We start from the raw sequence: 22,468 nt of genomic DNA on the forward strand, positions 1-22,468 counted from the left end.
CCATCTCACCCTGCCCCAACCTCACTGTCTTTGTTCATGGCTCTTGATGGTTTCAGAGGCACATTAAGGAAAGTGCCGCATCAGGGAGAAAGGAGAGAGGTGTCTGATGCCCCAAGCAGCCTCCAGCCCACAGCTCAGCATTCCTGCCCGTCACCCAGGCTTCCCCCAAACTTCTCCCCACTTCCTCTCTTTCTCTGATGGTCACAGAAATGTCATGATTATAGCATCTCTTCTTACTTCTTAATCATGTCTCCAAGTCTCTCATTGGTCCTAACATGGTGCCATGCTCTACCAGGGGTTCATCTCTCAATTCAACACTGCCTATTACAACCAGTAAAACACAACCTACACAACATTCTCTGATATGTCTGACCACAACAGGCTCTGCTGCACAAACCTGTTACTTCTTCCAGTTTATACACAAGTTTCTTCCGATCAGTTTCAACTACAATGTGTAACTATTCAAACCACAAATCGATCAAATCTCAGCCCTGCTTCATTTCCTCCAGTGACTCCCCTGCACTGAAAATTAAATCATAACAGCCTGTGCCCTAGCTCACAGGCCCACAGGCCCACAGACCTGGCCTCTCCGGCCACATGCTGCCCACTCCCCCTCAAGGGGGCAACCGTCTGGCCCTTGGGTACAAACTCTTCCCTAAGAACCTCACGTGCCTCTCCCTTCTCATATTGCAAAACTTGGCTCATACTTCATCCCCTGAACAGCGCTGGCGCCAGGGGATGGGCTTTGGAGGAGTGCACCTTAGCTTCTGCTCTCCATAAAAACCCATAGCTCGCCCCCAAAGCCACTTCCCAATAAACTGCCAACTTAAGCAAAAACCTCTTTGAGACAAATCCTCTGGTCCCACTTTCCAACTAAATGCCCCTCCAGGCGCTTCCACATAAAATTCAGCCATCATCACTGACTCCCCAGTTTAAATATCTGTCCACCCTTTATAGCACTTATTATTATGAGACATTTTTTCCTTGTGTTTACCTGTTTATTGGTTGGCTCCAGACCAGGCTGTAAGTTCTGTGTTGCCAGGCATCTTGCCTATCTCATTCAGACCTATATTATGGAACAGAGGTGGTGTTCCCTAAGTGTCTGTTGAATAAATGGATTGGCCACCATTTTGCTCAGCCCATAGTCACAACCTCCTTATAAAGAGATGATTCTATTCATCATCAGCCTCTCCAAGGAGCTCAGAACCATCTGAGAGGAGAATGTGGAAGAGGGAACTAATGTTTATTGAATGCCAGAGTTTCAATAAATAAATATCATGTCCACAGTGGAGGTCTACAGAAAACAAAAAAGGAAAAAAGAAAATAAAAATTTGAAAAAGAAATATTAGTGTCTCCATTTTATAGATGAGAAATCTAAAGTTCGGAGAGGTTAAGAAACTTTCCCAAGGTCAGCAGCAGGGCTTTGATCTAAACCCTTCATCTCCAGGCAGCCCCATCTCACCCTCACGGTCTCCGCTGACTCTCCCAGCCAGATACACCCTCAGAGGCTCCCTGCCACCCTGTCAGTCAGCTTATCCCTGACTTAGACCCTGGCCTCCCACCCAACGCAGCCCAAAATTTTGGCATTCTGTTGCTACAATCCCCAGGCCTTGCCTACCTCCCATATCTCTCAGGGACAACATCAGCTATAAAGGACCACCCCACTAAACACACACATACACACACACACACACAAGCAACTAGGAAAGAAATGCAGCCGTGGTGGAGGACATCTGCCCATCAGAGCACCCCAGCCCTGTGGGATATAGGCCGCTATTTATGGTTTTGTGATCCCAAAGGCAATTCAGAAAAGAAACATCCTGATACTAAGGTCCAAGGAAACAAAAAAGACCTAAGAGTCTATGTACCTGAGGTTTACAACTGTGTAAACATGTGTGCAAATTTGCGAGAGCTGGCAGGGGCCATGGAAAAGTGAAAACGGATGGTTCCATGGTAGAGCTACACTGAGTGAGTTTTTAAATTTTAATTATTACTTAAATGCTAGTTTGAAATGCAAACATTAAGACAGAGGAAGAAAGGGAGGAATGGGGGAAAGAGAAAAAAAAGGCAGAGGAAAGTGAGTGTGGGAGGGAAGCGAACCCTTTGCTGGTGACTCCTGGGGTCTGACTGCTGTCCGTGGAGTAGGGGTGTTTCAGCAGCCCCTGCCACTGGTGGGCAGAGAGATCTCTGGTAGCCAAAGGGATGGGTAGAACCAAAGGTGTAAAAAAAAAAAAAAATAGGCCAGGTGTGGTGATTCATGCCTGTAATCCCAGCACTTTGAGAGGCCGAGGCAGGTGGATCACCTGAGGTCAGGAGTTCGAGACATGGTGAAACCCTGTCTCTATTAAAAATGCAAAAATTAGTGACAGAGTAAGACCTGGTCTCAAAAAAAAAAAAAAAAAAGATGTCCACATCTGTCACCTGTCCCCAGAGCAGTGACCACGGTGACATCACTCCCAGCCTGACCTCTCTCAAAGGCACAGCCTTCCACCATCACCCCAGACCACCACCTCAACTCTCCTCTCTCCTTTACATATGTCACCCCGGCTCATCCACACCCTCCATCCTCTTTTCAGGGCCTCTTTTCTCCTTCAAGAGCCAACTCAAAACTCCCTTCTTTCTGGAAGCCTATCTGGATTACCATTCACTCTATAGAGCTTCAGGAGTTTCCTAATGTTTGCCATCTTCATACTGTAGGATATTTCATCATATGGAAGCAAATTTGCACGATTTAGAAAGAGAATGGGCTTTAAATTCCAGCTCTGCTACTCTCTACCTATGTGATCCTGTGAAAGTTACTTAGCCTCCCTGAGCATCAGTGTTTGAAATTATAAAATGGAAATACTGATGCATCCTAAAAGACTGATATAAGAAGTCAATGAGATAATGTATGCAAATAGCCAGGGAGGGTGTTGGGCAGATATGTAATCAATGTGTCAATGAATGGTAGTTTTTACTATGATGTATGGCATAAAATTCTAGAAAAGCAATTGGGCCATGGTATTCTGAACCACATTGCCTCTCCATGAACTAGATTTGAAATTCACTGAGGAGGAAAACTGTCCCTTCTAAGTCTTGGGTCTTTCCCTAACCCCATCCCTGTCCCCATCAAAGTAGGCAACACACAGTCAGTGAACAGGCAAGTAGCTGGACCCCTAAGCTTTTCAGGGGTAGTCACAGAACCCTGCCCACCAGAGTGGGTGGCCAGCCCATCTGAAGCCTGAGTCAGCTCTGAGCTAAGAAGGAGCCAAGGAGAGGGACTGGCTGTCAGTGCTTCCTCAGGTTCAGTGCTTGGGAATTGCCACTAATTCCCACACCCACCCTGTCTACCAGCACTAGGAACATGCAGCCAGAGAAGCCTAAGACCACATTACTGCATGGAGGGGCTTGCAAACCAGCCCCACAGCAGCTCCCAACCATTTCCCCATCAAAGACAGAATGTTCCTGCTACCACCCACATTTTGAAAGCTTTGGCCAACCAGATTGGCTGTAATAATGTTAATAATAATAATAACTACCATTTACTAGGAGCCAACAGTATGCCAGGTATCTTATAAATGCTACTTTTAAAAATATGTATTAAATAATAATCCATTCATTTTCCCATTTTTATTCATCATATACACATGTAACTGCCAGTCAGACCTTCTGGGCAACATGCAGCTGCATTGGCAAGTGCAGTGAGCCGTTCTGTCTTCAGCCCAAAACAAGACAATGTCCAATCTTGTTGGCCAGGGCATCCTACACAAGCAGAGCGCAGATATACTTCCAGCAATCACCTTAAAACACTGAGATTTGTCAGAGGGCCCTCCTCCCCCAATACTCCTGACAAGAACCCCAAGTAGGGAATTGCAGAGCTAATCCAATCATCACAATTTGCAAATGATAGGCTCGCATTCAGAGATGGCAGGAGTCCTCCCCAAGGTCACACAGCTGACAGCAGGACCAGACATTCCAATGCCGGCACAGTGCCCTCTGCTGAAGAGAGCAGCCTGGTCTCCCAGAGGTGGTGGTCAGGCCTGCCAGGAGAGGTGGCTCCCATACCACATCCCTCCCTGCAGCCTCACCTCGGCTGCCCCAAATCCACGCACAACCCTCTTCACGCACCTCACCCAGTGAGATGGGCTCCCTTCCACTCCAGGCACCTCCTCCCATGCACACTGAGCATTCAGGCCAAGCCCTTCCCTGGGGCACTGTGTACTCCCTCCATAAAGAAAATCCACCTACAGCAGGGCTCGATTAAGCACTGGAAAGGTTAGAAGCCTGCAAAAATAACTCAAAATAAAACAGGGCTAACTAGCAATTTATGTCTAAGAAAATCCCAGTGAGCTCGGATTTTTCCAGTCACAACTCCTTTGATGCTATCTTTCAAATGTCAAATATCAGATTATCTCCCCCCAAATTTTACTGGGAACCCTTGATTTACTGATGCCACATGTTCAGGCCTATCAGGGAGTATTCCACTCTCCCTCTTGCTCTGTTCCAATGTGCTTGTTTCTAGAAGAAAGGGTGGGGCATCCTGGGGCATATATATATAAACAAAGAAGCATGTTCCATACAGATTAGGTCTTTCTGTCACCAGAAATGTATTTGTATTCTCAGAAGATGGTTCATGGCTAATGCATTTTTATTCGTCATTGTTGTCTATACATCTGTATTATGGGAGAAGAGTTTTAAAGATGCAAGAAGAAAGAGTTTGGTAAAAGACAGAACCATTGCAAGGTCCTCTCACTCCAGGCATTTCAACATGCCCTTATACAGGCCATTTGATTTGCATCTGAGGAGCTTGCACTACCTTTCTTGAAACTGGAACAAATATTCACTTGAAAATGTTCATAGTTCACCAGCACCCAGAGGAGCAAGGTTCAGGCTGGCAGTGGGGGTAGGAGGGGTGCTGCAGGTTTGGTGGCAATAATGTTTCCCAACTGGAATTTCCACCAACCCAGAACTTTCACATCCAAATGTGTTTTGTCCCCTTCCAAAGACACACCCTGGAAATTCATACATTTATTCCGATTACACTGCCATGCTTAAAACCTCTTAAGAATTCCTCTTCTGAAAGTGCCGTGGGAGCCTGTGGCACATTCTTTTGAAAATCCTCAGTGGTAGAGAAATTTCCTTATTAAGGGAGGATCTAAGTTTGGGAAAGAGTCTAAAGGAGTTCTGAGCCAAGTCTGATGAATAAGGTGAGTGATCAAACTGGGAAATGCTATTTTGAGCAAGAGTGAGGTTCGGGTATAAAATAACAAGACTCCTTTTATGTGTCTATGCCCGGGTGTGTATGTGAATATGGGATTCGTAAACTAACTCTCAAAGGTAATTCCAAAAGAGAAGCTCTTAAAAGATTTTGAGCGGTTGCAATACTATTGAAATAAGAACATATCCGTTCAAAGTCATTACTTCCAGGAGGTCAACTGTTATTTGAAATGGCAAGCCCAGGTGTGAGATGATTTCCTGGAGCCCCACTTGGTAAAGGAACGCAGCCAGGTTCCATAGGAATCTGGAGTTGAGTCCACTCTGTGGCCAGGTCCTGGGCTGCACATGTGTTGAAGGAGTCCCTTCTGGTGGACAGGCTTTGGGGGCAGCTGGAAGGATGCCGGTCGGCCCCTCCTCCCAGGCCTGCAGCTTGTTGGCCATGTTCTGAATGACACAGCTAATTAAGGCAAGTCCTGTTGCAGCTCTGAGCTTGAACTGCCGAAATGGGGAAAGCAGAGCTCTCAGATGAATCTGTGTTTCAAGCGTTAACAGCTCATCTGTAAATAAAATAAAATGTCCTTTGGGCTGCAGCCAGGTAGCCCTCCCTGCCTTTGGCCTGAATGTGATTAGCACATAGGGGTGGAGGCAGGCAGGGGACGGAGGGACTGCAGGAGGAGGCAGTCAATTCCATCTTTTTAATAACTCTGAGAAATGATTTTGGTTATTGATTTCCAAAAGGGGTTTTTTCCTACCACTCTTACCTCCCTAGCCTCCAACTCTTCAAAAATTAAGCCCATTTTGAAATAAAACCCAATGCAGGAAATTAGCAATTTAGGGTTCAAGGCTACAGAACAGAATCACTATGGCACAGGCACACAGCACCAGGCTGGCCTTGGCGGTAAGCAAGTCTTCCTTGGACCTGGAAGTGAAGACAACTAGGTGAGGACGGAGGCCGTGCCTCAGGTTTTCCCCCAGTTTTTGTCCGAATCTCAAAGGTGACACCGAGAAAGACACAGCAAGATAACATTGACTGTGTCTACAGAAACAAACAGGCCAGGGGGGGAAGAAGTGATGAAACCACAGGGTTACCTATATAAAAACAGTCCTTGCAAAGCTGGTCTTTGGACTAAACCTAGCTGTTTTTTAAAATATACAATCTGCTATTTGAATACATTTAACTGTTATTTTACTTTATAACCTGATTTGCATGTGAGGTCTCTGACCCTTCTTCCAGGGAGCCAGGAACCCTGTTAACACTAAGCAAACTGTGTCATATCCACACCTCCTCAGAAGGAAGACTCTGCCTCTCAAGAATGTCCTCAGGAAGAGGTCATCTTGGAAATTATACTCACAATGGTAATGCCTGTAATACAAATAAGGCAACAGGCTTCACAACTTATTTATAAATCTAAAACTCCTTGAAAATAAAAAGTTGATTTAAAAAATAAGGCAATATCATTTACGTACAACATCTGTCTACATAACAGACAGACGTCAGTGGTACTGCGTTTTGTTTTGTCTTAGTTTTCCAAAATGCCCTAGGTATGTATCCTGGTGGTGTTCTTATGTCTACTTGAGATGTCTCTCTATTTAGTCTCTTTAATAATCTTAGAATGATGATGCACGTGGGTTACATTAGAGGCTTGAAAAGTTTTTTTCATATCCAGCAACCCAATAAATTACTCCTAGTATATCTAACTTCTCTGCTCCACTGTTGATGTTCCCAGCAACCTTTCCTTTCTTCCCCTGAATGTCAGCATGTGGTGAAGGCATTAGTGAGGGCCGCAACACAGTATTTCCCGGTTCCAGTTAGGTGAGGAGGAGTACAGTTGACCGTACTTTTTAAAGTGCTGTCGGCTTTAGAAAGTGTGGTATTTTTTAATACCACTTTTTACTGCCCAGCTGTAAGAAGCCTGTCATTTTCAGCATGTTGTAGAAGTCCTAAAAGCCAACAGTTTTCTTAAGCATCAGCAAAAACAAAACAAAAACAGCAACAAACAAACAAAAACCCCACATACAACTCAGCTTGAACATTTCTGATATCATCCTCTAAAATATTCTCTTAACAAATCTATCCTACACTGAAAGTTCCATAGGAAAAGTTACAAAGGGAAGGGGGATTTCTAAAATCTGACTCTTCACCCTAGCTTTCCATTTCCCTGAAAAGATTTCTAAGATGTGCACAGAAAATGAACTTCCAATAATTGTCTCCACAGTATTAATGTGTATCTTCTGTTGGGAGAAAATCTGTAACCTCATCAAGGAATAGCATTCAAATAAATTTTCATTGTCCCACTGCACAAAGCTAAGCTTAGGCGAATCCTAATTTGTTATTCATTCTTCTTGTTTAATTCATAATTTGATGGTAAATGTGGTGACACAGCAGTGCCCTACAAATTCGACTGCATCTGTCCTCAGATACATTTCTTGCACCTACCCAGACTTATGTTTTATACTAAAAAATGTCTTTAAGCTTACAGATGAGCAATGTAAATAGAGAGAGAGAAAGTGACGTTTTTCTATGCATAGTGAGCCAACATTAATCTCTCTCCAAATTCAGGGTCTCTTTTTACTAGGTCCATTCTGGCTAACTGTACTTCTCCATATTTTCCAAACTCTTATTTGAAGCAAAAACTCCTCCTGACAAATGCTTTTGGTTTAAAACTAATGTTTCCTTCAACTGGTTAAGTGCCATAGAAATAAAAAGGCTTTTGCAAAACATTCCACAACCTGATTTTTAATTTACTGCATCATCAGCTACTTTTATAATAATATTTAATCTACTGAAACAAAACCAGCCTTAGAGGGAAAAAAAAAACCAACAACAACAAAGAGAAAGAGAGTTTATTTTTAGCAGCTCCATTCTTGTGTAAGGTAGCTAGTGAAACCGAAACTTTACCTAAGGACACTAGTCCTAGTTTCTTCTCTCTCTCTCTCTCTCTCTCTCTCTCTCTTCCTTCTTTCCATTTATTTTTTTATTTCTCCTTTTTTCTCAGTGGCTGAGAGAATCAAGTTAAAGGTTAGATCTCATTAAGTATGGTTAACAAGTTTCAATAAGCAGGAGGCACCAAGAAATAAACTATCCCCTACCCAAAGGAAAAATATATAAAGTGATGGTAAATGTAAATATTCAACTGTGGCCCAGATGAGCAAAACCCTAAAATGAAAAGAAGTTTACACCACTTCATGAGGTCAAGTCTGGAAAGTTTGGCTCAGATGTCTCAAGTGCCAGACCGTGATGGTAAAAATGTCATTATTTTACATCACGAAAATAGAGAAGAGAGACAATAAAATGCGTCAAAATTCAGTGGGTTCCTTCAACTGAGGCATTTGAAAATGTTTGACTCCAGAGCTCATCATTTTAGGGACAACTCAAATGGGAGCAAACCCAAGTATTCTGGGGCTTTTTTTTTTTTTTTGGTGTCTATATCCTATTTCTGTTCAAACGAATATCCTGAGAATTAAGACTCTAGTGTGAGACAGCAAAGGCTATCGCTGTGCAGATAAAAACACTCCTGAGAAACTATGCCCTAAGGATGCAAACTGTAATGGAAACTGAGCCAGGCAAAAGGACCCCTCCCTAAAAGGAACTGCTTCCAACCAAAAGGTGGACCCCGCCAATGCTTCCAAATTCTTAAGCACTGCTCTGGCTTAGGCAGCTCAAAGCCATTGGGATGGGCCCTTCCTGAGTAGAAAGACGTTACTGAAAGTTTTGCCGTTGTCTCTGGGTAGAAAATGGTCCTTCCCCAGGAGCACTGTGCTGGTAGCTCTGTGTTCAGCAAAGTAGAAAATGTCACTGGAGCATGAGCTGTGACAGCAGCATGTACATACTTGCATATACCCTTTCCTCTGCAGAGCAACTGCTATAGCTGAAAATTGCGAGGCAATCTCCGTAGGATGAAAGAGGCCAACAAACTCAACTCTACAGTGGCTAAAAGCCATGGGATGCTGCAGAGAAACTTCAGGTTTATCTTTTGCCTTACATTAGGATGTTTCCCCTGGAAATGAAGGGGAAGTTGTAATTAGCATGTTTGAAAGCTCTCTGATTCACCTCCCCACCCCAATTCTTACTATCATGAATTTTGCATTATTCTATGTACAATAATGCACATAAAATTAAATAAACAATTTAATTAATTTAATTAAAATTAAATATTAAACATATTGTGTATAAGAAACCTGTGCCTTTGACTTAATTGGGCAGGAGTACCCAAAGCAGTTTGGGTAACAGCAGAAAATAATTAAAAACAACAAGTACGTTAGCCTCTGGGTACAAGAAATAGTTGGGAGCCTCCTCTTGAGAAAGGTTTATTTAATTAAAATTAAACTAATCTTTGGAAAACATTTGATAAGCATTTCATAATACAAATCATAATCCAAAAAATGAGGCTCAGCCTGCCTCTCCACAATATAGGAAAATCATGTTAAATAATTTATCTCTGGCAGTAGCTACTCTCTTCTTTACACATACATACAAATACACACACAGCAATTCAATAGACAACATGTTCAGTGGGTTTGAATTTTAGGTAATACTTGATTCACCTACAATCCAGATAAATATTAATAAAGTACATCAAATATATTATGTTCATAGCAAGAATTTAGAAGATTTAGTGTTTGATTTTGAACTAGGTGTGGATTTTCAGAGCTAAAAAGCCCCTATCAGAAAATATCCTTTCTGCGAATTTATCTACAAGGAAAATTCAAATGTTTTGGCAAGTCAATATGTTAGTTGGTCACTACTAATATAACCCAAAAATACAGAAAAAGCTGGGTCCCCAGGTCATCCACAGATACATTTAATTCACAAGGTAGCATTTAGTGCTTCACGTTAGGAGAGGAAGACCATTTACATTCTTATTGCTTTCCTCCGGTTTGTGTGACAGGATCTGATATTCAGTTGCAGAGCATTAGATAAGATTAGACGTAGACCATAAAAGAAAGACAGCAACCAAGCCCATGTATGTGTTTCCCCAATAACTGTTCCTAGGGCCTGATATTGCAGAATCTCCAGACATCTATAGTCTTCATCAAAGTAGGGCCCATTTAGACACCTATGGCCTGAGAAGGAATATTACCAAAACCAGCTGCTTCATGCTCCAATTCCAAAGTTGCTAAATGCAAGCATCCTGGCTGACAAGTGCCCACAGATATAACTCAGAGCCTGAATTGTCCACCAAATTCCAATTGTCCACCTCTTAAACATCTGCACCCATAAAGAAACATCAAATTTAGAACATCCATTACCACAAATGATTCTCATCACTTTTATTTCAGCATATATAGTAACTTAGTCTATCAGCGAGGTTAAAATATTTTCTTATATCCTAATGATTCATTATAGATAAAGCAACTATATTCACCCCAAAGATGAGCTGGGAACATATAATAATGCATTTTATTTTGTCTTTATAAGCATAAGATTTTCCATGTATATCCTGACACCAAAATCATATTTTTCAGTGGTCATATGTATATTAAAAACTATTGTTATGAAACATACATAGCCACAGGTGCCATGCATATAGAAAAATCTGAGTCAAAGCTTGGTGTTGCTATAGCAAGGTTATTTTGTAGTGCCTTTGCTCTGTAAAGAAAGCCACAATAATATACATCACACTATTTTATAAGCAATAATTCATAATGGCAACTAACAATTATTCCTGCAATATCAAGCATTCCTCCAAAAATTCATCTAAGCTTTTAACCATTTCTCTGATTGATTCAACTTTTCTTTGATGGAAAGAACAAAGTACCTTTGGAGGCTTCCAGTTGGGCCGAGAGACAGGGCGATCCAAAGGGTGGCCTGCTTAATGCCAGACTTAAAATAGGAAGAAAAAAATCTGGAGACTTGGCAGAGCTAAGAAGCACGCAAAGCAAAAGATCCTAAAGCCATCTCTAGCTCAATTAACTCTTTCACATATTTATTGGAAAAGGGCATTTAACCCTTCAGAAAACACCAAGCAAAGATCCTGGTGCAGCCCCAGCTTCTTCAGCCAGGACCACAGCTGCAGCAGGGTTCCCCTCTGCCATCCAGGGCTTGTCAATGATGCCCTTCATTTGCATGTCAATCCTTTTACATGATTAATATGTATTTATTGACCAGGAGGCCTTCCAAACCTAGGACAAAGGGAGACAGGCAGTCCTCTTTTATAGGGCAGCCATAACTTTCCTGGCAGGACTGACAATTGTGCACAGGAATAATTCCCTTCCAGATAAAAAGTTCCCACCATTCAGACATGTAGTAATGGAAGGAAAACAGGCTAAACTGAACACTGAAATCTGAAGGGCACCTCTCTACTCCTTTTCCCATAAGGTGATCTGTGTTCATTTCCTACCACCTCAGTTGAGGAGTGTGGACAGGCACCTAGAAGACCAGAAAAAAATGACCCCCAGCCTGGGAGTTTGGATATCTTCGGCTACTCATGAAGGTCTTTTAGGCTGAGGACTGCCCACAAAGCTAGGCCCTAGCTCGAACCCTGGGTTACCTGAGGGAAGGCATCTGCCTCCTTCCAAACATGAATCTAGAAATGGAAAGAAACGCACCCAACACACCGCATGATGCCACTCTTCATGAATCTTTCATCCACTCAAATAAACATCACATTTCCCAGATTGACAGGTGGAGTTTTATTTATTAAACAGCAAACTCCAGTTTTAAAAAAAGATCAGCCTTATGTCTACCATTAAAGATTCCCAGAAATTCTCTTCTCTTCCATCTCTTCACTCCTCCCACATAAGAAAATAGAAAAGTAAAAGCGAAAATGGTCAAACCGTGCCATAAACTTCCATTTTCACTCTGACATCTGCCTCTCAGAAAGTCGGAGATGAGATTCTAGATATGTTTAGAAAAACTGTAAGGGATTAGTATGACTCTTGTTTGTCCTGGTGCCAAGGATATTGAGTCAGATCATCCAAGAGGGTTTTTTTTTTTTTTGTCTTTATCCTGGGTGGTTCTGGGACTCGCTCCGTTTGATCGTGGCTTCCCACCTCTGTGCATATGAAATCCTTGACCCCACAGAGAGGCTGCCAGCTCAATGACTAGGGTTCCCAAGGAAAAGCACAAGGAGCCATCTCCTTTATAAGGTCCTTCACTATAAAAAACAATATCAAAAAAGAGACTTTCCCTTAGGTTGAAGAAATTCAAGACCAGCCTCTGCGTAAGCATTATAACCTCCCGAAAGTGACACACGAACACTCTCCAAAGGCCTCAAGTTTGATTTCCTAACCAAGACACCAACAAGAAACGGTCATCTTTCAGCTCAGAGGCCAGTTCTGAATCTCTCCCCAGGGACATAGTATCCTTGGCTTTTATAAACGGCCTTTATTAGGGGCAAACTCACTTCATTTTAAAAAAGGGAATTCTGGTGGTGTCAGATCCTAGTCTTTCTCTGACCTACACCCTGTCAAACTAAGAGATTAGGCAGGTGGTACACTTTATAGGAAGACCAGCCACTAGCCTGCTCACCACCAAAATCTGGCCTGGGAAAGGTGAAGGAAAGCAGTTTAAACAACCACATTGCTGTTTCTTTGACTTCAGCCAACTCCTACTTCAGTCATTTTTACTGAAACTGGTCTACATGTATAGACTATGCCTAAAAGAATCCCAGAAAGAGTCCTAGAATTCCAAGAATGTAAGCTTCAAGGACGAGGCTTGCAATGGTGAATTTATCAAAAGCAATTAAACATAAAATGGGCCCAGAAGGGTGTTTCAAATTTCTGCCCAAGTTTTGCCCATGCAGAAATGTGATGCTTATGATGAAGTTATTTTCCTTAGTAATAACTCTGAAGAATGTGACCCAAAAATAGACCGGGGAGTCATTTCAGCAGGGTGCCCCTCTGGCTTCATCCACTTTATATGACACCCAGAAGGCAGCAAGTCACTCTGTATCCTGTCCTTACATGCTCCATTCCAAACCCAAGGCCACACTTCTGAAAGGTATCTGGGACTGCTCCGCACAACCACATTTCAAGAGAATGCGGCCATCAAAAACGCAGGCACATCAAAAGCACCTGAGAAGAAACACAAGGATGAGGAGGGAAAGTATCAAGGAAAAGCAACTATCATCTCTAAATTCTACAAACCTGTGGTTTCATTTTGCTATGTAAACAGATGGCATACGCTGGAAGCAAGGAATAAAGTTTTTTTTTCCTGAAACTTCTGACATAATAAACTAAGTTATGTGCACCTAAACCTGACTTTGTTTTCTATTTCACAGATTATAAATTCAACTAAGTTAACCAATAAAAATGGTCCCACAGGAATTGCCTTGACATTATGGAAGTTAAAAGATGGGTTCTGACATATTCCAAACACCCAGGCATAGACTTCAGAAATTCATTCGGTTCAAATGAATATCTGGGGGCATGGGCTCCTGGAACATCAGGTGTCCATCCCACGGGGGCCCACCCCAGTACCAAGAACATCGCAGGCACTTGGTTTAAGCCAGGTTGCATGATTGAATAATTAATGAGAACCCAAGGAAGGTTTCCTTCTGATGTTTGTCATCATTAGAATCCAACCTCTGTTCACTAAGGAATAGCTTTTGCCTTAGGTTTTCAACTCCCTGACCAGCACCTCAGACATTTGGTGGGGGGCACTTTCTAGGTTTGAAAGAAGGGCTGAATACTCCTCTGAACACCTCAACTCACCCTTTGGCCCCCTCCTCATCTAATTTTGCAGGCCATTAATTCAGAATGGGCATGAGAGCATTTTGGTATTTGCTTTCACAATAAAATGACTGAGTAATTAATGAAAGTTGGCAACTGTTCAGTCAACAGCAAGCTCTCTCTCCGCCCTTCCCAACTTAGTGCTGTGTGTTCAAATAGACTTCATGTTGCACCGCCCCCACCTCGGCTAGCCTCACCTTCCCTTATAGCGCCAGTGGGACCTCCCCAGGCTCTGTGGGGTGATCTTGCTCTCAAAAAAACCACTTACCCTATCCCTCTTAGCCACTGAGGACCTTTATGGTGAAACTGTCATTACCCATTAAGGGCAGACAGGGCAACCAAAAGGGCCCTACTTCCTTGCATGCTATAGACAAGTCATTGGCTGTATAATAAGGGAGACTATATCACTTTTAGCCTGGTCCGTGTTGACCCCCCAGGGAAACTCACATACTCGTGTCTGTAAGATGTGTCTTAGAGCAAGCCCCTTTAAACAAAAGCAGCGCTGGCACTCTCCCTGCAACCTGTGCATTGGCTAAGGTGGGAAGAAGGGAGGCTGGTGGCCCCTCCTGGCTACCTCCCCCCACCCCCAGCAATAGCTTTTGTGTTACAGGGGCTCCCAGAGTGGGATGGCCGGAATGTGGAGACGCCACTGCGTTGGAGTTAATAACACAGTGTCACAAAGGAATTTAAGCCTGAACTCTGGAAATTCTCTTTTAGGAGCTTATACTTTTCCTTCTTCAAACTTCTCTGTTCTGTCTAAAAAGAATAAAAACCCTCTGTTGTGTTTCCTGCCGGAGGCTATTATCACTTCCTTCCAACTGCCCCTTGTGAAATAGTCAAAGCATCCCTGATCGCGGAGGAGACAACCGCCAGATCACAAGGTGAGTTTTGTATTCCAGAGTTTCAACGGCTCTGGATCTGTTTCCAAAATGACCCACCCTTTCTAGGGGCGTGTTGCCTGCTCTTAGGGGCTGTATTTGGCAGACATGCAAATATAAAACAGCCTCACCAAAGTGCTTACTATGGACACAGCCTCTTGGCCAAGCACGGAAAAGGTTACAGGGGCTGGTGTAAGGTTGGATGGGAACGTGAATGAGATCCAGGATATGGTACATGGGGCTCCTGGCTCTCCCTGTGTAATGTGCCCCAAGTTCCCCTGGATTCCACTGAAAATAGGGAGTGGAAGGGTGGGTTTGGAGTGAGGATAACCAGGATCGTCACACTCACATAAGCACAGAACCTCAGGGATCTTCAGGGCTGACACCCTGAACGCCCACCACTTTCCCTAGCCCCCAGTGTCTCAGCTCTCCAGGCGGGGCCTCTGAGGCTAGACCGCTGTCTCGCCCAGGGATGCTCGCGGACTGCGGCACTAGCGAACGCGCAATTCCCTTCCCCAGGGAAGCCACGCAGGGGCTTTCCCCGACGGCGTCTCACAGCCAAGTGAGCTTGTGAACACGGAGACGGCCGAGGATCCGAGACAAGGAGCTCGCTCGCTCGGTTTTTCCCGGGCTGTGTTTGCCATTCGCGGGAATAAATGAAGCATCGGTAATCTCCATAAAAGAGCTTTCACGCTTCATTCTCTGAAACTAAGTTGAGGCTTAGACGGAAAGGAGAAAAGAGACTTTTAATTTAAAGTAATGATCATCAACACTCAGGTGCTAGAGGGTCTCTGGGGAAAGGGGGTCCCTACCCCACCCGGGGTAGCGGGAGGGAGGCCGCCTCTCTGCGCCTAGCCGGGCGGGCCTTGACTTGCTAGGATTGGTGGGCCAAATCCCATCTCCGGGGAGCCTTCAAATAACTCTCCCATGGGGAACTGAGGAGGCGCGGGAGCCTAGGGCGGAAAAAGCTGAAGAGCCGTGGTCCCGGAGAAAAGGAAGTGAGCAGTCTCAATGGAGGCCCGAGCCTCTCCAAGGCCACCCTGCAGGCAGCAGCGACTTCTTCCTGGGGCAAAAGTCGCGCACTACCTGCGGGAACGTCCGCTGCCAGGGCGCCGCCCGGGACCCCAGAGCATACCTGGTTCCCTTCCTGGTGGCCGGTCCTGTTTGGGGCCAAAGTTTGCATGCGATGGGCACAAAGGACTCTGCGCCTCCTTTCCCTAACCCCAAGCCCTGGGCGGTCGGAGAACCCAAGACGGGTTCAATCCCGAAAAGCAAACTTTGTTAACTTCTGGCTGAATTTGGCACGGCGGAGGGGGGAGTGGGCAATAATCCCTCCATTCTCCCCTCCACCAACACCCAGGGTCCCTCACTTACATCGCAGTCCCCAAGTCAACACTCGACTTGTCACTTTGCACCACAATGCGGTCAGCCCTGTGAGGACATGAAGAATGGATATGAAACTCGAGGCCAGATAAGCGTGGAACTAGGTTCAGCCGTCCTCCCTGGGGTACCTACCTCCCTACTCCCGACAGAGCTGTGAGCCTCCGCCTGCTGAGAGGAGGGCACTTGGGCGGACCTGAAGTTAAGAGGCCCGGGGTGAAGGCCAGAGCTCAATCTGCAGGGATAGAAGGCGCGGGAAATCCAGCAAAGGATGGAAGAACAGTCCCTGCCAGGCCGCGGCCTCCTCGCCCCCGCCTGCCCGGCCTCACCCTTCTGGAAGTTCCTCCAGGCCTGGGTGGGGGCCGCCAGGGAAGGCGCAGAGGGAGGGCAAGTTGGCGCCGCTAGTTTTAGAGAAATCCTAAGTAAACAGTGAACCCGAGCAGGAAACCTCAGCTTTGCCTGGGTAAGAGAACTGGCCACACAGCTCCAAGAAAGGAGAGGAGGAGAACAAATCTCTGCGCCCTGAGGATGGTGGCTTTATTGCGGAAAGAGGTGGTGGGGCCGGAGCTGCTCTGCAACTTCCTCTCGCCCCCTCAAAAAAAAAAAAAGTATCCCGCAGCGAGGATTTCAGAAGGGGCTCACCTGGTGCAGGAAAAGTTCAGTTGGCAGCCCTTCGCGAGCAGGTCCTCCCCAGCCCGCACCGAGAAGGCAGGCGCCCGGGCCCTCTGACTCCAGTGGCTCAGAGCCGGCTCAGGACTGGCAGGGCGAGGAGCCGGCGGGCCGAGCCAGCGAGGGTTTGGGCTGCCCGCGGTGTGTGTGCAAGAGCGCGCGCCTCGTGTAACCATTCAGGACCAGTTGAAGCAACACAAATAAAGTCAGGTCTCTTCAGCCTTGCTGTCCACCCCTCCCCCTCTTCCTGGTTTGACCCTGGCCTGGCCGCTCTGAGGCCCAGTTTGCGCAGCCGACATTGCGTGGCTACTCTCATTACCAGGGGAAGGGCGCTCCCCTTTTCCCTGGTAATACTCCGGGAGCCCCTACTCGGAAGCCCAAGAGTCAAAGGGATACAGGGGTGACTGGAGAGCAGCGGGGGACAGCGTGGCCTCACCCAAGGTCAGCGCTGGTCCCCACGTGTCGGCCGGGGGAGGGGAGGGGAGCGGACAGTCGGAGCGTTCGGATGTCCAGTTGAGCCGCGGCGCGGGGCAGCCGGGGGCGCAAAGTTGGAGGCAGGGCTGGGCGACGAGGAGAGAGGGAGGGCCGGGAGCCGAAGGGACGCCCGGGTGCACCCCGCTGCAGAGGCCGAGTCCGAGCGGCCGGAGAAGGCTGGTCGCAGAAGGGCGGCCTCCGGTGCAAAAAACGGAAACCTTGGAGCAGAGGATGAGGAGGAATACGGAGGCGGGGAGCCCACAGAAAAAGATGTTGAGGAAAGAAGAGGAGACCCCGGCCTAAACAAATCGAAACTGTGCAATGAACGTGGCCCGGGAGAACCGGGGGTGAGGGGCGATGGCTGGAGCTGCGGCCCAAGCACAGCTTTCAGACGCTTGCCCGGACCCTGGCGCGGGGAGGCGGCCGGGACTGCCTTTCTGCGCGCGTCCCTGGAGAGCGGGTGGGCAGGACCTGCGCCCCGCGGTGGGCAAGAAGATTTGGGGTTTCGCAGTTCCTGGGGTCGGGGGCGGGGGTGAAGTGCCCTCAGAGACCTCGGCGGAGCCCCAGTTGCGCTCCCATCTCCAGCCCCCACTGGAGAGAGGGGGTCCAGGGCCGTACCCTCCTGCGGCCTGGGCTGCGCTGACCGGAAGTGCCTGTAAGAAGCGCCCTCCGCGGACCGTGCCGGGCGCGGGCAGCTCCAGCCGGGTTGGAGCAAGGCCAAGACGCCCGGATGGGGCGGGCCGTTTCGGCGGACCCAGTCTGGACGCAGGTGCGGGAGGAAAGTGTGAGGGGGGAAACTGCTGATTGTGCGGGGATAGGGGCATCTTAATCTGGGAAAAGATCGGAATCTCTTGGGACGCTAATCTGAGACCCGGGTCGGAGGTGTAGAGTAGGGGTGTGTGAGCAGGAACTCGGACCTGAGTTACAGAGTAAGAGGGAAGAGGGCTGGAGAGGTGCTGAGGCTACTCCTAGTTAAGACTGAAGGAGAGGAGAGGAGGGATAACAGCCCTTCACGCAAATCAGTGCTCCCCCTGCTCCCCCAGGTGCCAAAGTCCAGGACCAATGTGGAGACTTGACACTGCGCTATGCGACTGCGAATCATTCTTCTATTTATAAGTAACTACAGTATAGACTTCAACGTGATTTGGTGAGACCTTAGCAGGATGACCCTGGACCTCACTTTTCTTATCTGTAAGGTGGGGATTATAATAGGCAACACACAGAAATGTATGTTGTTGAAGGAAATAAATTGTGTTAAATGGCTAGCAATGTGCACGGAAGACCCTCAGTGATTAATGATCATGTTAATTTTGAATTTCTGGGAGTGACATCTTCTGAATTGCCTGCACTCTGCTAAATGGACAAGTCCTGTACCTGGAGGTGAAGGGGCGGGGGAAGGGCAAGGAGAGCCCTGCTGTGGTCGTTACTGGGACTCGCTTTTGTTTTCTTCAGGATTCAGTATTGAAATTGGGAGTGTGGAGGCGGCTTCTCCCCAGCTCTCTCCGTCCAGTTTTCCACTGTGTTCTATTTATCAGATGGCAGAGCCGTGGGTCTCGCTGCAGGAAATGGTTGCTGTCAGGGCCCGATTGCTGCTGTCAGGGCCCAAGCCCACTCTTGCAGTAGTCGTGGTTGAATCAGAAATTCTCCTGGGTCCCTTCTGTCTTTGGACTCTCATCTCTCTCACAGGAGGCTCCCGCCCCTCTGCGCTGGTCCTGGAGGCCTGCAGACCAGGTCTTCAGGAGGAGGGGAGGATGCGAGCACCCCAGATGGAGCTTTCTCCGTGCGCTTGTGTGGTGGCAGGGGGCAGAGAGGAATCTAAGTTGTGCCCGGCTTTATACCCCACTCCTCATCAGAGTTGAGGAGGGGGAGGCGAGTACTCACTAGTCTCCTCTACAATCCCCTGCCCCCTCCTGGCACTCCCACCCACCTGCCTGCCAAAGGCAGAGTCACAGGCTGTTGATAAGAATACTCTCTTCAGGATGTGTGTGCATGCACACACACAATACATTTCTGCTTTTCTATTGGGTCACACATACCTAGAGTCTTCCATTACTATAGCCTGAAATCTTCCCAAATGTCCTCAAAACACCCCACCCCCATACCTGTGGGGAGAATTCCAGAGTGGAGGGGCCCACTCCATCTCCAGAGTGGCACCCAGGTGGAGAAGGCTGTATTCGAAGCAAATTCAAGGAGCAAATTTTAATGGCCCATGACTTACCAAGCCTCTGAGAAATCTGTTTGGGATGTTTACCTCCTCTTGCCCTGGGTCTGCTCCGGTCCCAAGAGCTACAGCTGGCAGAGCACTGAGTGTACTTGCTGGTGGGAGAGGGTTGTAGCATTGGGTCTGTGTCTGAGCACAGGCACCTGGACTGGACCAGCTGCCTCCAGGGGAGAGAGAAGGGGCTGCCTCTCCTTTTGGTGGCTTCCACAGAAAGGAGAGGGCACACAGGTCTGTCCTGAGCCCTGGAAACAATGTCTTTTCCCTCCCCTGGCTAGGGGTGAAGCCCACCAGCTGGGGCATGCAGGTGCATCTTGGACACCAGTATGTGTATTCCTGGCTCATGTATAGTTGTGTGCCAGAACCTTCTACACAGGCAATGTCCATGTGCTTGCTGTGAACACACTGTATATTGGTCCACTGACATTTGTATACATGCCTATGTTTTGCATGTGTGCATATGTATCCACATGGGTGTGTGCATGCTTATGCATTTGTATGTGTGGAAGTGTGTACATGTGTGCATTGTGACTGCATGCATGTTGACATTACCCACTTGACGGCACAGTGAGGAGAGGCCTGGACTGATAGGAAATCTGAGGACTTTGCCTCTCATTTGCCTTGTGCTTTCTCTTGGGGCACTTTCTCTCTCAGGATTTTGTAATTCAAGAATCTCTGAGGACCCTTCCAACACTGACATTGCATTAAAAGACTGGCCTAAAGCATTTGGGGAGGCGTGGAGGCTGGCAGAGTCCCTAGCCCTTCCCCTTTCCACAGGTTGCCAAAGAAGAGAAACCCTCTCCTCAGAGTTCAAAGTGAGAGAGGACAATGGAGGTTTCTGGTGGGAGTGAGGAGGGATGAAGATACTCTGCCACCTCCCACAGACGGGGATGAGCATAGTCTTCCATTTGAACCCACTGTGACATCCAGACTAAAAGGGTCCAGGCTCTGAGGTGAAGCTGGGGAGGACACCTGGATGCCTCTCTGCCCTTCTCTGCCCTGCTCCCCTGTATGGTGGAAGCAGAGGATAGTGGGTTGACTAGATCGCCAGAAGAACGGCCTGTCTCATTCACACAAAGGAAAAACCAGGCTGACCATGGAAGGAATTGATGGCCATCCCACAGTAGCTGCGGCAGACACATTCATCCAGGGTGCAGTGTGGCCCTGGCCTGCATCTCCTGGACCTCCAGGAGACAGCCAAAGCTCACCCCTGCCTTGTAGCTTGGCCCTTTTTGGGGCCTTTTTTCTACTGTGTGTGTTGGGGCTTGGAGTGTCCTGGGGCACAGTGGCCTCCCCCATGGTATTATCTCTAGACACCCTGCCACAGGTGACAGATGGGTGTAGGGGCCTGGGAGGGTACAGGCTAGCAGGTCACTGCTCTGTTCCCTGGGCAGCCCCATCTAGGGAGCTTAAGAACTGGGTACACATACACACACCCACAGACATCAAACAGTCACTACTAGAGGCCATATACCCAAAGCACACACTTCCACCTCCCAAACCTAAATAAATATACTCAGTACCATCCCTATACAAATGCCCACACACAGTACAACCCACGAATACACACGAACCAACGCAATCACACCAAGCAACCCCACATTCCCAAATACCACAACACCCTCTCCTTCCACTTTCCTTCCTCCTTCCCTCAGCCCCATCCATGGCCTTCCCCCTAACCCTACTGAAGAAAAGAGAGTTTCCAGCAAGAAAACAGAGACCTTTGCCCTCAGAAAGAACCAGGGATCAATACTGTTTAGACTCAGCTAGCATGTATTTCCTTTTAGGCTGAGGAAGATTTAAGTTTATGGTTCAATTCAATCTTTAAAAAAAAGGAAAAGCAGAAAATGAGGCAGTTGGGATGGCGTGCTCAAGTATTTATTTCACTGCAGCCCCAGACCTGAATACACAGGTGGCTCACTAAGCCAGCCCCATAAATCAGAGAAATCAATGCCCGTTTATGATCATTATTAGTTTCTTTTTTTAAAAGGGCGTGCAAGAAAAAGGTCCCACCAGAATCCTCCTCCCCTCTCCTCTACTCCAATCAGAAAGAAGGAAAAATGGAGAGAAGATGGGAAAGTCATCCTGGATGATGGCTTCAGGGCCTTGGCCAGATCCTTGAGGTCGATGCGACTTAGACATACATAGTCAAGGAGGAGGCACAAACAAAATGTTTAAGTTCTCAGAGCTTCATGTTCTTTCACTGAACAATGAAGAAAAATCCATTTTCCCATAGTGATTGGAAGATAAAAGGAGATAATGGGCAAGAAAGCAAATTACATAATAATGACATTCACGTCTATACACTTTACTGACACAATCATGGGGATGGGTGACCACCTTCTCCTCCTCTCGCTGGGTTAAAGGAAAGAGCTCTTGACTTTGATCTCTTGGATAGAGGAAGGGGAGCATGAGGAATGGGGTGGTTCCTAGAGTTGCTGCTCACACCGACCTCTGTCCCAGCCTCTGGACCTGGTAGTCTTGGGGGACTTGAATATCCTAAGAGGCCACAATAGGGAGGGGAGAAGGGAGTGTAGCCAATTCCTAGACATTCAAAATAGTAAGGTTCTCCAATATATAGAGTTGAGCATCCTTAACATCACATCTGATGTGCTGGGAGGGTGAAATGGAATGGGACTCTTCCTGAAATTCTGAGAGGTATTAGGAGAAGGGTGCTCCAAGACACAGGCCTCAGACTGTTTAACAGGAAAGCCTGGAAGGCTTGAAGAGTCCAAGCCCACTCCCCAAGGCAAGCAAAGCACAGGCTTTTGACTACCAGAAAACAACTCCCCTAGACCAACCCCAGGGAAGGGCCCATCTCACTGCTTCTAACTCTGCCCACAAAGATTGGTTGAGCACCTATTATATGCAAGAGTTACTCCTCCAGAAAACAATGGGCAGATGGAAGGAAGGAAATTAATTGCAATAAAGTTGGGAACCCACAGCAGTGTCAAATGCACCCTCCAATTCCACTCTAGCC

General features: G+C 46.9%; 1 long non-coding RNA gene across 2 annotated transcripts, besides 1 other annotated feature; it reads right to left on the reverse strand.

Moving 5' to 3' along the window:
* Positions 14,779-15,547: an enhancer, noted in NCBI's record as "H3K4me1 hESC enhancer chr2:119590580-119591348 (GRCh37/hg19 assembly coordinates)". NCBI's record gives its function as "activates a minimal SCP1, AML or CMV promoter by ChIP-STARR-seq in naive H9 embryonic stem cells {active_cell/tissue: H9 hESC(naive)}" and the evidence as "EXISTENCE:reporter gene assay evidence [ECO:0000049][PMID:30033119]".
* LINC01956 (long intergenic non-protein coding RNA 1956) lies at positions 15,475-17,921 on the reverse strand. Of its 2 annotated transcripts, NR_186613.1 has the most exons (4): positions 16,770-17,921; positions 16,263-16,362; positions 16,122-16,178; positions 15,475-15,907 (listed from the first exon to the last, which is right to left on the reverse strand). It is a non-coding gene; the product is annotated as a long intergenic non-protein coding RNA 1956 (long non-coding RNA). The 2 variants fall into 2 exon arrangements; NR_199712.1 differs by having other exon boundaries at positions 16,263-17,921.

The sequence above is a fragment of the Homo sapiens genome, chromosome 2 (genome assembly GCF_000001405.40).
Source record: "Homo sapiens chromosome 2, GRCh38.p14 Primary Assembly".
In the NCBI taxonomy this organism is placed as follows: Eukaryota; Metazoa; Chordata; class Mammalia; order Primates; family Hominidae; genus Homo; species Homo sapiens.